Source organism: Homo sapiens, chromosome 8, assembly GCF_000001405.40.
Source record: "Homo sapiens chromosome 8, GRCh38.p14 Primary Assembly".
Classification (NCBI taxonomy): domain Eukaryota; kingdom Metazoa; phylum Chordata; class Mammalia; order Primates; family Hominidae; genus Homo; species Homo sapiens.
In genome coordinates this window covers 128848462-128863794 of record NC_000008.11, presented here as the reverse complement: position 1 = coordinate 128863794, position 15333 = coordinate 128848462, and the positions used below count along the sequence as shown (strand labels likewise).

Below are 15333 nucleotides of genomic sequence, written 5' to 3'. Positions count from 1 at the left end.
CACTCTCTGAAAATGGAGCATCCACATTTTTAAAAATAAACTTGTGCTGGGCTAAAGCTGGAATCAATGAGCGGGGAAAAAAACCCCACAATCTACTCTGCCTGCTCCTTGTCTTTGCAGCTAACAGCCAAGTCTTATTCTTCCACCCTGATTCCAACTGATTCTTTTCTTTTCTATGCCAGAACAAGGGGTGCAGATCTCAGCAAATGACCAGAGTGGAGTCGGCTGTTAAATATACATTTCTGACTCCTAGAAATTTGGCTCCTGACAAATGTTCTTGAAAACTTTTAGGATGTGGCGGCATATTTCAAAGGCTCTCTTAGGAAATCTCAAGTGAAATCAGGCTTCTCACAGATCCTCTTCAGGCTGTGACCTCACCTAGTGCCCATTGCAGGGGACTGGATCCAGTGAATACAATCAACTCATATCCATGGACTCCGTGAAAGACAGGAAGGACACACCTCTGCTCCCAGTCCACTCAGTGTATCCAAACAGCCAGGAAAAATGGTTTCATGGCTGATTACTGTTGCTGAGGCAACTCTATTGATCCTTCCTATGGTAATATTGGCAGTTTCCCCTGGGGATTGGAGAGTGGGGTTGGCTGACAGTTCTCTGGGTAAGAGACCAAGGCATTATTAAAAAATTATCCCCATACCACACTCTGTTCCCAGTCCCCAAAAGTCAAATTGCAAAGCCTGATTTTAAACTCTGAAGAAATGCCCAATCTCATGATTGTAGACAAACAGAGCAGAGGAGGTCCCTGGGATTGATGGGAAAGACTTCACTGGAAGAAGCTCAACTTCCCAAGACAGGGATAAGGGGAGGAGTCAGGAAGAAAAGAGAGGAAACAATTGTCATTCAGCTTCTAAAGGGTCAGAGGCAGCACCAGGGGCAAATCCTTTAATTTGCCACTTAGGAAGATTTAGAAAGGTTTTGGGGGGATAGGGGAGGTCAGTGAGAAAATGGGAGATTACAACAATTATAAAGGAAAAGAATTCTGTTCACCCGGTACCTTGGGGAAAGTTTTAAGGCAGACAAGATAGAGAAAAGATATTAGTAAAACTCTCTAGGAATTAATAGTATTGCCAGTGACACAGATTTGTAATCTTCCGGGTTAAACTCAGACAAGATCAAATCCTTTTGGAAATGCAGTCTGCGCTTTCGGAACGACAGCAGTCACTGTGACTTCTTCACTTTATGTGCTATTTTGCTTCTAAAGGGCTTCAAAGTGTCTGCTTCTCTTACTCCAGCCTGCCTTCAGAATGAAATGAAAAAAAAAAAAAATTGAGGGAACAGATTGACTCTGAAGCATTCCAGAGAGAAGAGGTTCGGCACATAATCCCATTCCAAAACAATATTATCAGAAACAACTCTTTGCCTTTCACCTTTTCATTGTTTTCTGAACACACCCAGGTGGAAGGAGCTCTAGGTTTGCTTTCAGATTTGCCAGGGATGGAAACTCAGACCCCAGTATCAGCAGCATAACTGCACAATTTATATAACCTCTCTGAGGCTGAGTTTCTGTCACCTCTAAAGTGGGAAGCACACCATTTGAGGAGGCTACCCCAGCATGCTACAAGCTCTTGGTAAACATAACCTATTATTTCTGTTATATCTAGTGACTCCCAAATGTAAAGCTAACCTATTATGTTAAGAAGACTTAACAAAAGGTTTATAACTATTTGAGGAAATTGATTCCATGCAGGCTTGGGAATTGTTTTTAAAGTCAGAAGAGAAAATGCTATTTTATCAGTATTGCTTAAACAGAGCTTAAATAGTGTCGCTGTTTCTTTTAAGAGGCGAATTGGACTGGGCTCACATTGCACGTATATTTCATCTACAGTTGCCACATATGTGTGTTTTTCTCAGCAAGCAGCACATATGGAACAACTCTTTATGGAAAATAAGAGTGATGTCATCTGCCTAGCAATACCAGGATATGAACTCAGACTCCCACAGTGCCGTTGGATCCACACAGCTACCAGCGCGCTCTGAGGAAGGGAGACTATTTTGAATGTTTCCGGAGTTGTATGCTTTGATTTTCTTCTGAGAAATCACTGGGAGGGTGTAATCTGATTTCCACAAAGAGAAATGGGTGTGTGGGGACAGAAATAGTTTATTCTTAGGGATTCCTAAGGAACTCTTTGAAAGTGTTTCTCATATTTCAGAACAGAAAAGTAAAAAACGGAGCAAATGTGTTCTATTCCCTTTTATGTTGAGGAAAACAGTTCCCCTGTCCTTTCAAGAGGTCCTGTCCCAGGGAATCTGCTCAGACTTGCTATTCAGTCTGCATTCTTCTGTGGCATTGCTGAACAGATTAGCTGTAAGGAGAAGTTTAGTGCTTCTCCGATGATTTAAGTTATTTTAAACAAGGATTTCAGGATGAAATGAAAGGAAGCCAGCTATTGGGGCATGTTCTCTCCTTGAGGAAAACCTGTTTGTTTGTTTCCTTGTCTTACAACAGATAATTTAAAAAAATTAAAGTTTATTCATGCAACTGTACTGTGATGGCTTAAATTCCATTCTTTGTAGCTCTATACAATGCCCTTCATTAGCGTTGATCTCCCTATAGAAAGATCCTTGGTAGTTACTTGGAATTCAGGCTCCAATTCAGGCTCCAGTCTGTTAAGAACTAATCCCTATAAGCTTGTAGGAATTGCCACCCTGGGCTGCACTGAGAGAACTGCCCGGTGTAGCTGGAGAGGTCAACTGGTGGTCCCAGGACTGATTTCTTGCAGAAAGTAGGTTTGGTTTGGCGGAGTTTTTGAAAAGGATTTAAGTTGACATGCTTTTAGCCAGGGGTATGCACTCTTTTCACCTCTGATCCTAGCTGTCCCTAGTACAATTACCATTGGCCTTAGAATCATGTGAAATTACCTGTTCAGTTCCCAGAGGCATTTGAATTTGGGACCCTGGAACTGGAAGGGGCACCCACAAGATCTAATAAGGTGTAAATTCTTATAAAAAAGTTCACCAAATCCTGACAGTGATCAAAGTGAAGTCACTTACCTCAAAGCTCAAAGTCTCTGTTTTTTCACTATGGGTTGATGGCAGCTGTGCTCCATGTCTTCATTTAAACGTCCAGGCTCTATCTGGATGTAGCCATGTTTATTGCAGAGGAAAAATGGAAAAGAACCAGTGTCTTTTAAAACCTCTGGCCAGAAGTTGCACATGATACTTCCAATTCCATTGGCCAAAGCAAGTCACGTGCACAAGCCTCACTTCCTAGAAGGGAACAAATATTAGCCTTCTGCAAGAAAGAGCAGTGGATATTTTAGACAAAATACTACTAACCTCATCAATAAAAAATATTTATGAGCTTAGCAGAAGCTAAGTGACGTGATAAGAGGGGAATCCAGCCTTCTCTCAATTAGAAAGTGAAAGACACACGAGAAAATGTTCAAGAGTATAAAAATTCTGTTGTCAATGCCTGCCCAACATTTATTCCATATTTTATCTGGTAACAGAATCTGATTTCTCCTTTGAAACCCATTTCTCTTTCTCATTTGTAGTTCTGGAGTAACTGACTCCAGATGTCCTTCCTCTGCCAGAAGTTATTAATTATATAGGGTGGGAAAAATGCTAGTTTTGTTAACTGAATAAATAAATACTATGGTCGCTGTTGTGAGTTGAATTGTATCTCTTCCCAAATTCCTGTGTTGAAATCCTAATACCCAGTACCTCAAAAACATGACATTATTTGGAAATAAGTTTGTTGTAGATGTAATTCGTTATGATGAGGTCACGCTATAGTAAGGGTGGGGCCCAAATCCCATATGACTAGTGTCCTTTTAAAGAGAAAGTTTGTGTGCAGGTGCACACAGGGAAGCACACTGCGTGAAGATGATGCAAAGACTGGGGTGATACAGCAGAAGCCAAGCAGCACCAAAGGTTGCCAGCAAACCAACAGAAGCCAGAGGGCCATGGACCAGATTCTCCTTCACAGTCCTCGGAAAAAACAAATCCTGCCAACATCTTGATTTTGGACTTCTTGCCTCCAGAACTGTGAGACAGTAAATTTCTGTGGTTTAAGCCATCCAGTTTGTAGTACTGAGTTACAACAGCCCTTGGAAACTAATACTTTGGCCTTGGTTGAATATGCAAGGGAGAGAAAGAGGTGTTTGATGAAACACAATCTTGGCACAAGTGAAGGATCAACAATCAAATAATAAACAAATAAAAGTTCCTTTGATCTTCTGATAAGGAAAGAACATAAATAAGGAGAGTGAAAATCACCTGGTCAGACTATTCGGAGGCAAAACTCCTTATCTTAGGTATTTAATAGAAGGGAACAAAGACCACCTGGTCGCATCTGGTTCCAGGCCTCTTTCAGCTTTTATAAGTAACTAAAGTCTCGATGTATCCCTGAAACTCATTTTACAACCCTAAGCTCCCGCCTTAAGCTCCATAAATACCCCGATGATATATCCACCAGGGGGCGCTCAGTCCTCTCGCCGAGGCATCCCGCTACACTCTTGTAGCTTTCCTCCTTTCTAATAAACTTTCCTTTTTCAAACCTACACTGTTGTTGGTAAATTCTTTTTACCAACACGCGAGTTGACCACTTCCTGTTTTGGGGCTATCACACCTCGCCCAGTAGATTGGTATGATTGAGGAACCTTTTAGGGAATAGAACATAAATAAACGATTGTAGGTCAATGTTTTAAACTCTGACATACATCATAAGAAGTTTTTAACTCTGACAAAATTCATAAAAAGTTGGGGGTATCCTGTAAGCCTTCCTGTTTCTATAACTGTCATAATGATTTTATAAACTGATATAAATACTTTTAAAATAATATGCCCTGTGATGATATTCCTTTCAAATGGCGGGGTGGTGGCGGGGGTGGGTTGTAGTTTTGTGTTAATGATTTAAAGTAAGAGCTGTAGACCCAGAATATCTGAGTTGAATCTGGCAGTATAATTTCCTGAGTTACGTAAACCTTTTGTCTTAGTTCATTTTCTGTTGCTGTAACAAAATACCACAGACTGGGTAATTTTTTTTTTTAAATAAATATATTAGCAACCAGTTCTGGAGGCTGGGAAGTCCAAAAGCATGGTATGGATATCTGATGAGGGCCTTTTTGTTGATCATAACATGGTGAAGGGCATCTCATGGTGAGAGGGCAAGATCATGTGGGTCAGTTCAGGTTTCTTTTCCTGTCCTATAAAGCCTCTAGTTCCATCATGGGGACCCTACCCTCATGACCTTATCTAATTCTAATTACCTCCTGAAAGTCCCATCTCCAAACATTATTGTTAGGGACAAACTGCCCCAAGAAAGCTTCTTGGTGCGGCCCCCCTCCCCCTAATGCTCTGCAACTCTTCACCATGCCGCCCACCATTTCCCCAAGCCTCTTTACATTTCTAAGCCGTTATCTAGGCACCATGGTGAAGCCCCCAGACCACTTATCAGACCGTGCTTCAATAAGCAAACCCCAATTACAAACCATCTAGGCCGCACAGGGTGAAGTGGTGGGAAGCATAAACAAACTTTTACCTACACCTCCTGTAATAAACATCACAAGGTGCTATGTGGCAAAATTAACCAGCAAACAACCCCGGGATGCGGCCATACCAAAGAACTCCCTCAAACTCCTCTCCCCAGCATAAACCCCTCATTCTGTAAACTTGGGGCTGTTTCCCTTGACTGTTAAGGGGGCAGCTGGCAGGTTAATAAATTGCTTGCCTGGGCCGGGTGCGGTGGCTCACGCCTGTAATCCCAGCACTTTGGGAGGCCAAGGCATGCGGATCACGAGGTCAGGAGATCAAGACCATCCTGGCTAACACGGTGAAACCCCATCTCTACTAAAAAATACAAATAAAATCTATAATTAGAAAAAGAAAAAAGAAAAGGAAGCCAAAAGACCAAAGTAGGAGAGGAAAAGTTTTGGTTCAAATTATTTCATTGTTATAGTCTTATAAGCATGTAAAAGTTAAGTAATTTTCTAATCGTTAATTATTAATATACAGAAATATGATCAATACTTGTACACAGATCTTTCATTCAGCAACCTTCCTAAATTCTCTTAACAATTTTTATCTGTTGTAGATTCTTTTGAGCATTTTAAATATACTATAAAATAAACGTATATGTGCATTATATGTGAGTGAAGATATTTTTACTTTTATTTTTTCCCAATCTGTACGTGTTTCCCCCTTTTTCTTGCCTTACTGAAATGGCTAGAATCTCCTCTATAATGTTAGAGATAGCAATAATAGAAATCTTTAGTATGTTCCCAATCTTAGGGTGAAAGCGTTCAGATTTTCCCTACAAAGTGTCATGCTAGGTTTTTATTTTGTTTTGTTTGGTAGTTACCCTGCGTCAGATTAAGGAGGCTTTCTTCTATCCCCAGTTTCCTGAGAATTTCATCTTGAAAACGTGCCAAATTTTATTAAATGCCTTTCTATGTATACTTATATCATGTTGTTTTTCTCATCTATTTTGATGATTATCAAAGTTGCTTATCTTGTGGTTAGTTATCTTGATTAATTTTTTAAAAGATAAAACTGTATAATAATCACAGGATAAGTCCCATTTGGTCACGATGTAATATTTTTTACTATATCTCTAAATTTCATTTGATAATAGTTTATTTAGGATTTTGCTTATATGTTTATGAGAAATATGGGTCTACATTTTTTGCGGAGGATGAGAGGTCATATTCTTTTCTGCTTTTGGTATTAGAATTGTATCATCTTCATAAAATGAATTGGGGCATATTCCTGTTCTCCATTTTTCTGAAAGCTTTGTGTAACCTTTGCAGTGGGTTCAGTACTAGACCCCTAAAAGATAAGTTTATCCAGAACCTCTGAATGTGACTTCTGTTGGAAAAGGGTCTTTGTAGATGTAATTAAGTGAAGGGTCTTGAGAAGAAATCATTCTGGATGGCAACTGTCTTTATAAGAGATTTCAAAGGGAGAAAATGGAAGAGACAGCCATGTACAGGTAGAGGCTGAGATTGGAGTTATACTTCCAGAAGCCACACAGTACCTGGAGCCAGCAGGAAACTAAAAAAAGATAACAAGTGATCCTGGCCTAGTGCCTTCAGGGGTAGTGTGTCCTATCAACACCTTGTTTAGGGTCTTCTGGCCTCCATAGCTGTGAAAAATAAGTTTCCTTTGTTTTAAGCCATTCTGTTTGTAATAATTTGTGATTGCAACCCTAGGAAATGAATATGATCTCCTAACTGACACCAGACACAAAACTTTAAGATGAGTCATAGACTTAAATGTGAAAAGTAAAACTCTAAAGTTCCTAGAATAAAACATAGATATAGGAGAATTATCTTCATAATCTCATTGTTGGCAAAGATTGCTTGAAAAGCACAAAAGGATCAGGATAGACAGCTAATGCATGTGGGGCTTAATACCTAGGTGATGGGTTGATAGGTGCAGCAAACCACCATGGCACATGATTACCTATGTAACACACCTACACATCCTGCACGTGTATCCTGGAATTTAAAATAAAATAAAAGAAAAAGAAAAGCACAAAAGGAACCCACTATAAATTTTAAAAATCGATAAACTGGACATTATAAAAATTATAAAGTAAAAAGTTAGGTTCATTAACCTGAATATACTTTTAAAAACTCCTAAAAATTGACAAGAACAGCAAATAACTGAATTTTAACTAAATAGACAAAAACTTTAGGCATTTCTAAAAAGAGAATATCTAAACAGCCAGTAAGTATGAAATGGTGCTCAACACCGTCATTTTGAATCTTAAAATTGGGATAATTTCTTTTTCTTCAGCTAATATTACATATGTCACAAGCTTGTTTTAGGACATAAATGAAAGAATGTCTACAAGACACTGGGCCCAGTGTGGGACTCATAGTAAGTGAGCAGTAACTATGATTCCATGGGCAGTGTTCAACTAACCTATTACACAACAGTGTATAAAATACATTGCAGAAAATTTGAAACAGATTTTTAAAAAAATAAGATCTAACAGCAAAGATCTTCTGTTGTAATTTCTTGAGTTGTTACAGTATTTGAATACTAAATGCACACAACTCTCACTTTCCAACTGGGACTAGACAACAACTTTTTGGTTTAATTAAGAGCTGCTGAATAAAATCACCTTGCGAAATAACCCAAAGTACCAGCAGACCCCTGTGACTATTGAGAAGTCTTTATTTCTTTTCTTGCCTCATTCTTCTTGTTTGCTTCTGGAGGCGAAAATGCCAAACAGTAGAGGTTTTGATAGTTTGTTAGTAAATTTATGCTGATGACAATACAGAAGGTGTTTCACGATGTGGCTGTTACTCTCCCTCCAACTTTGTCTTTACTGTTGTCTTTCTTCCACCTAATATTTTAGCAACATTGAACTAAAAGTTGAAAGTAGATCTCTGATCTTGTCATACTATCTCATGTCTTACTTGTATTTATATCTGCTATTTTCCCCCCGAAACACACTTCCCCCTCAACTACTTTTCCCCAAGCTAGTCTAGCTCTTACAAATCTTTAAATCTCTGTCCACAAGTCATCTTCTTCTAGCAGCCCTGAGCAGCCCTTCCAAGTTTCTACAGATCTCTGTCAGAGCGCTTAAGACAACACATTAGTGATGTCTCAATGCCATCCCTCCCTCTCTAAACCCGTGTTTCTCTAGCATTTTGGATTTCACTCAATTACAAGGGGCAAAATGCTTCACAGCATGCTTCTCCCACTGTTATTTGGTAACGGATTAAGGACTCTGCAATAACAAAGAATTGTATCCATTCCTTTCTTATCCAAAAGATCCTGGAGACCCACCAGTGGGCCACAGATAATACCCTGGAAATCACCAGGCACACAAATATTCTCAAAGTCAGGAACTGGTGTAATGGTTAAGTATGTGAGATCAGGCCAAGTTCTCAAGTTTGAATTGAGGCTCACTCACTTACCAGTGGTGTCTTGTGCAAATCACCTAACCTCTCTCTCAGTTCTCTTGTCTGTACAATGACAATCATAATGGTATGTTTCTCATCAGAATAAAATCAGTTAATGCAAAATATTTACAAGAATGCTTAGTGCATAATAAATACACTCTAGGCAATAGCTATTATAATTAGTGGAGTTATTTCTATAACATCAGCTCTTACCACATTTCCTACAACATAGTAGATGTTGAATAACTGTTTACTGAATGAATTAGTGGATCAGCTCATATGGGCTGCTAACTGCCTAGCATACTGATAAGTGCAGAGAGGAATGTGACTCAGCTGCACCTCAACCCATTTTTGTCATTGCTTATAACTGCATTAAGCAGTTTGAGGACATCTGAAGAAAAGAACCAAGAACCGTCCCTTACTGGGGTGAACTTCAGTCTGGAGAGTTGTGAGAAGACAAAGAGGTGCTTGCCTTCTTCTGTGTGCACAGAAGCAAGATGATCCTAAGGAGGAAAGAAAGGGCTGAAGAGAGAAAGAGAGAGAAAGAGAGAGAGAGTAGGGGAAAGAGAGAGGGAAACAGAAAGCGAGCGAGTGAGAGAGTGTGTGTGTGCAGGGGAGAGGCAGAGAGAGAGACAGATTGTGTGTGTGTTTATGTGGCGCGTGTGAGTGTGTGTGTGTGTGTGTGTGTGGAGAGAGAGAGAGAGAGAGATTGGATTAGAAGCCAGGAAATTGGGGTTAATTCTCTCTGTGTGGCATTGGGCAAAGTCATTTAATACTATCATTTTCTCCACCATATTGGAATTATTTATGCTCTAGTTGTTCCCAGTAGACAAACTCCTTGGGGAAGAATCCATGTCTCATCCATCTTTAGTGTCCTGTGTTTCACACAGTAATGGCGCATGGCTGCCTTTGGGTAAGAGTCTTTCAAAGGGAACTAAATGCAAAGCCTCTATTCTTTATTTATGAAGATGCCTGCCCAGCCCATCTTTGAGATCTTGATTAATTAATTAGTGAGAGTGCTTCCTTTGAAGACCTTTAAATATTCCAAAGGCTACAGAAATTTATGCTATTACTATTAGTGTTTTCTGAAAAATAGCAAGTAACCAATACACACAAAAGGCACGATTTACAAAGCATTTTCATATCCAATGACCAATTTAATTCTGGCTGACACCTTGATTTATAGAAAGGCATTACTATGCCAGTTTCTCCAAAGTTCCTGTTTTAATGAACATTTTGGGAATAAAAAAGTATGTTTTACATTCATTGAGAGATGCTTGTTTTCAAAATATTTTTAGAGTAATTCTTGCCTAATAAAAATAATCTGTTTTTTTTTTTTTTTTTCTCACAAAAGTTTGGATGTTTCACACGTTGCATTTACCTGGGTCTGAATATGAACATTTTTTTTCCCTCAGTATCAGAGAACTCTTCAGATAGAACATTTCCTGTACATATCATGGTTTAGAAATTTTGAGGCTGGGAGCAGTGAGTTGTGCCTGTAATCCCAGCCCTTTGGGAGGCCGAGGCAGGCGGACCATCTGAGATCGGTAGTTTGAGACTAGCCTGACTAACATGGAGAAACCCCATCTCTACTAAAAATACAAAATTAGCCAGGCGTGGTGGTGCATGCCTGTAATCCCAGCTACTTGGGAGGGTGAGTCAGGAGAATTGCTTGAACCTGGGAGGCAGAGATTGTGGTGAGTCGAGATCGCGCCACTGCACTCCAGCCTGGGCAACAAGAGCAAAACTCTGTTGCAAAAAAAAAAAAAAAAAAGAAATTTTGAAAATTGATATATTTATTTGTTTTAAAAGAGTATAAAATAAAATAAATGTTGAGAGTGAGTGCAGATTAGGAGTTGGATATATACTTGTGTCTCATTTCTCTCATGGCCATGTGCATATAAGAATCCTTATCTGAGCCGGGCGCGGTGGCTCACGCCTGTAATCCCAGCACTTTGGGAGGCCGAGGCGGGCGGATCACGAGGTCAGGAGATAGAGACCATCCTGGCTAACACGGTGAAACCCCGTCTCTACTAAAAATACAAAAAAATTAGCCGGGCGCGGTGGCGGGCGCCTGTCGTCCCAGCTACTCAGGAGGCTGAGGCAGGAGAATGGCGTGAACCCGGGAGGCGGAGCTTGCAGTGAGCCGAGATTGCGCCACTGCACTCCAGCCTGGGTGACAGAGAGAGACTCTGTCTTAAAAAAAAAAAAAAAAAAAAAAAAGAATCCTTATCTGTAAAACAGAGAAAAAGCCTGTAATAGCTCCTAAAGTGATTTTGAGGACTACATGAAATAATGCTGGTGAAGAATTTAACACTGGGCTCAGCAAATAGCAAATGCCTAACAAATAACACGTTTCACTGTTTCTAATAACTATGTTGTATAAATGAATCATAGTTATTAATAAAATACTTTTACACTAATAATAGTAAATGTAGGGGTGGTTTTGTTGTTAGGAAAACCAGTGACCATGCTTTGGTATGACTTCCAGGCCAGTGAATAATTCACAAGTAAGATCAGTTTAGGGGCTGGTAAATGACAGCATTTTGTTCCATTCTGTGGTTGCAGTTGGTATCTGTTTTTCATGGCTGCTGTCAAAAGCCACCGCATATACAGTTCTGGAGTTAGAAGTGTAAAATGGGGGCCAGGCACAGTGGCTCACGCCTGTAATCCCAACACTTTGGGGGGGCCGAGGTGGGTGGATCACCTTAGGTCAGGAGTTCGAGACCAGCCTGGCCAACATGGTGAAACCCTACTAAAAATACAAAAAATTAGCCGTACATGGTGGTGAGTGCTTGTAATCCCAGTTACTTGGGAGACTGAGGCAGGAGAATCGCTTGAACCTAGAAGGCAGAGGCTTCAGTGCTGACCTCCAGCCTAGGCAGCAGAGTGAAACTCCGTCTCAAAAAAAAAAAAAATAGTGTACAATGAGTCTTGCTGGGCTAAAATCAAGGAATGAATGCAGCAGTGTGGCAGTGTGTTCCTTTCTGGAGGGTCCTGGTCAGAATCCTTTTTCCTTTCTAGACACCACCTACATTGCTTGGCTCATGGCCCTCTGACATCTTCAGTCAGCAATGCCACATCTTTCTGTGCATTTCTTCCATAGTCATCTTCCCCTCTGATTTTTTTTCCTACCTCCCTCTTCTACTTTTAAGCACCTTTGCAATGATATTAGACATACTCATACAATCCAGGCTAATCCTACTTTGAGGTCAGCTGACTGGCAACATGAATTCCATCTGCATTTGATTTCTCTTTTCCATGTAGCCTGACGTAGTCACAAATTTCAGAGGTTAGGACATGGACATCCTTGGGGTGGAAGTGGGAGGCATTACTCAGCCTCCCACATAGCTCCAAATAATACTAGGTTAGAAGACAATTATCTGCTCTGAATCTGAAATTAGGAAAGATGTAGGTTTTGATTCTGATTTCAGATTTTGAACTGATACTTCCTATGGCCCCAGGCCCTGTTTTCATATGGCCCTGTTTTCCTACCAGAATGCATTCTTAGATATAGCTATTCTACAAGATAGTCTTTGTTTCTGGGAGGGTCGTGAACTATCACGAAATCCAGCCCAGTCTGATACAACAGCAGAAATTGACAATGGCTTAAATTTTATGTCTTTTTAATATTGTTCTGACTTCCTGTATTTTCCTGCTTCTTTGAAAGCCACCTAAAAAGGCCCAGTGTTTACAGCATCCTTCAAAACCCACATCTAATTTCCTGCAAAGTCAGGAAAGCTTAGGGGTGAAATAAAAATGTCAGAGGATTTAGTGGCTGTGAAGCTCGCCCTGACAGTGGAAGGAGCTGCATCCCATGCAAGTCATGACCAGCTTTGAATTGTCCCATCCGGATGGGAAAATATGAACAACTGTGGATCATATGGCTTTCCTGTGCCAAGCGCTTTATATGCAACATCTCTAAGTATCATCACCATCATTGTGAAACAAATAAAAATAAATTTTAAAGGGACTAAATAACTCATAGGACATTCAGCTTGTAAGTAGCATCAGAGGCAGGAGTCAAATCACAGTGATTATCATTCTAACAGCAAATAGTTTTCCAGCTTCTCCAAGCCTCCCCTGCACACACTTACGCTGGTTGTACATCACAGTGCTTGGTTTACAATCTATCCTAGAATGAGAGCTGTTGGAAATCTGAACCACGATTCTTTCATTTGTCTCCTGCTTCTAGTCTTGTGCCTGGTGTGTAGTCAAGCTTCAGCAACATTTGCTTATTTTAGGAAAGTGTGGCTCAACTAGGACACTGGTATGAGTGTCTTAACTGCACCAACCTACAGAAAAACCCATTTTTGGAAAGACAACATCAACTTTGGTACTGGTGGAAAATTGGCTCAGGATAATTTTTTCTTCATAAGCCATTCCCGTGATATTTGATTTGGCTTTCTGAGACATATTAATCAATCCTCAAAATTCCACTGAGGAAGCAACTCTACTCATTGGTAATCAGCTGGTATTTATCTACTGAGACACTTGGGAGGCAAAATGGAAAATGAAGCCCTTTTGCTGGAGTGCTTTAATTTAACCCCTCTCTCCCAATTTCATTTGAAACTCATTTATCTTGCAGAGGTGCACCACTCTGCCTAAAAGTAATACTCTTAAGGCAATTAGCACATATTTTCTGAATGACTCACACTTACTAAGTAACAAACATTGTTTTTGTCCCTGGGTGGTGTATATTTGGATATCATAGGACTAGCAAATGTTCAATCCACATAATACAACATTTATCTAAAATTCAAATATATCATGTATGTAGTACTCCACAAGTACAGGCTAAAGTCTCTTTTAAAAATTTTTTTAGTCTTCTCGGGATCTTTTTCTTTTTGGATGGCTTTTTAATACTATGGAATATTTTTAGTCATTTAGGACCAAAGTGCCCTTTGACAAATTTGCCTGAAAATATCCTGCACATAAGCAAACCAGGAAAATATATGAATCCATTTAATGCTTGAAACAGTATCTATCATAACACATATGAAATGTGACAATTATGCTAAATATTCAATATTTGAAACACTTTTTAAACCTCTTCCAGAATGGCTAGAATTATAACGATAATGTTAAGGACATGGAGCAACTGGAATGTTTATGCACTGAGAATGAGATTATAAATTTGTACATTCAGTTTGAAGATGTAATGACAGGATTTGCTAAAGCTAAACAGGCATACATCTTAGGATTCAGCAATTCAGCTCCTTCGTGGTATATGTTTGTGTCCACGTGTGAATACTCCTTGGTTTTACACATATAAATATGCTGGGTTTTTCACCAAAAGATGCATTCATTTCTGTCCAAATAATTTTTGTATATGGCTTTATTGATAATAGTCCCAAAGTAGAAATAACTCCTATTTCCATGAAAAGTAGAATGAATTAATGTGATCACACACACACACACACACACACACACACACACACACGGAAAACTGCATAAGAATGAAGAACAAGCTATTACAGTAGACACCAACATAGTCGAGAGTCACAGACATAAAATTATTATGTAAAAGTCTGAAACAAAATGAAGTTAAAAACTAATCTATGATAAATGATTGAGGTCTCTGACGATTGAGGTCATGTTCCTTGGGAGGATCTGTGAAGGAGGTTTTCAGCATGCTGCAAATGTTCTATATCTATTCTGGCTGGTAGTTATGTGAGGATATACACATGTAAAAATCCATTGAGGTATATATTCATAGCACATTATGATATGTAAATTATACCTCAATAAAAAGTGAAATAAAGTACATGCATGAATCATATATTTTAGGTAAATATGTGGAAAATTGACTACTAGGCCTATGGCCTTATAAAGAAAGGCATAGAGCCTTTAAATGCAATTTTCTCTATAGATCCTTTATTAACACTGCTATTGGAAGGGTGCTCCTCTTTTTTTGAGACCCCATAGCACTATGTGAGTGTTCTTCACATGGGACCTATTTATTCTTCTTTCTCACCTATAGGTGTGTTATGTTATGCCCCCACTCTATTCCACAAGATAGGGGATCTTGGAATGCAGAGATGCAGAGGTCACATCAGACTCATTCTTGTCCCCCTCCTCCCTCCATGTAACATTGCCACAGTGTCCAGGTCCCCCTGTAGGGACAGCCTACATGGGTGTATTAAATTTGATACCTAATCCATGCCACTTAACCTGGGGGAGCTACTGTATTAATCTGCTTAGACTGCCATAAAAGAATATCACAGACTATGTGGCTTACACAATAGAAATATTATTTTCTCAGTGTTCTGGAGACTGGAATTTTAATATCATGACGTCTCCAGGATGGGTTTCTGGTGAAGGTCCTCTTGCTGACTTGCAGATGACCACCTTTTGTCCTCCATGGCCTTTCTTCTGTGTGTGCTGCAGAGAGGAGGGGTCTCTAGTATCTCTTCGTCTTTTTACAATGCCAGTAGTCCTGTGGGATCATGGCCCT

At 39.7% G+C, this 15333-nt stretch overlaps 1 annotated feature.

Annotated features, from left to right (window-relative positions):
- Positions 2191–2789: an enhancer, noted in NCBI's record as "NANOG hESC enhancer chr8:129873252-129873850 (GRCh37/hg19 assembly coordinates)". NCBI's record gives its function as "activates a minimal SCP1, AML or CMV promoter by ChIP-STARR-seq in primed H9 embryonic stem cells {active_cell/tissue: H9 hESC(primed)}" and the evidence as "EXISTENCE:reporter gene assay evidence [ECO:0000049][PMID:30033119]".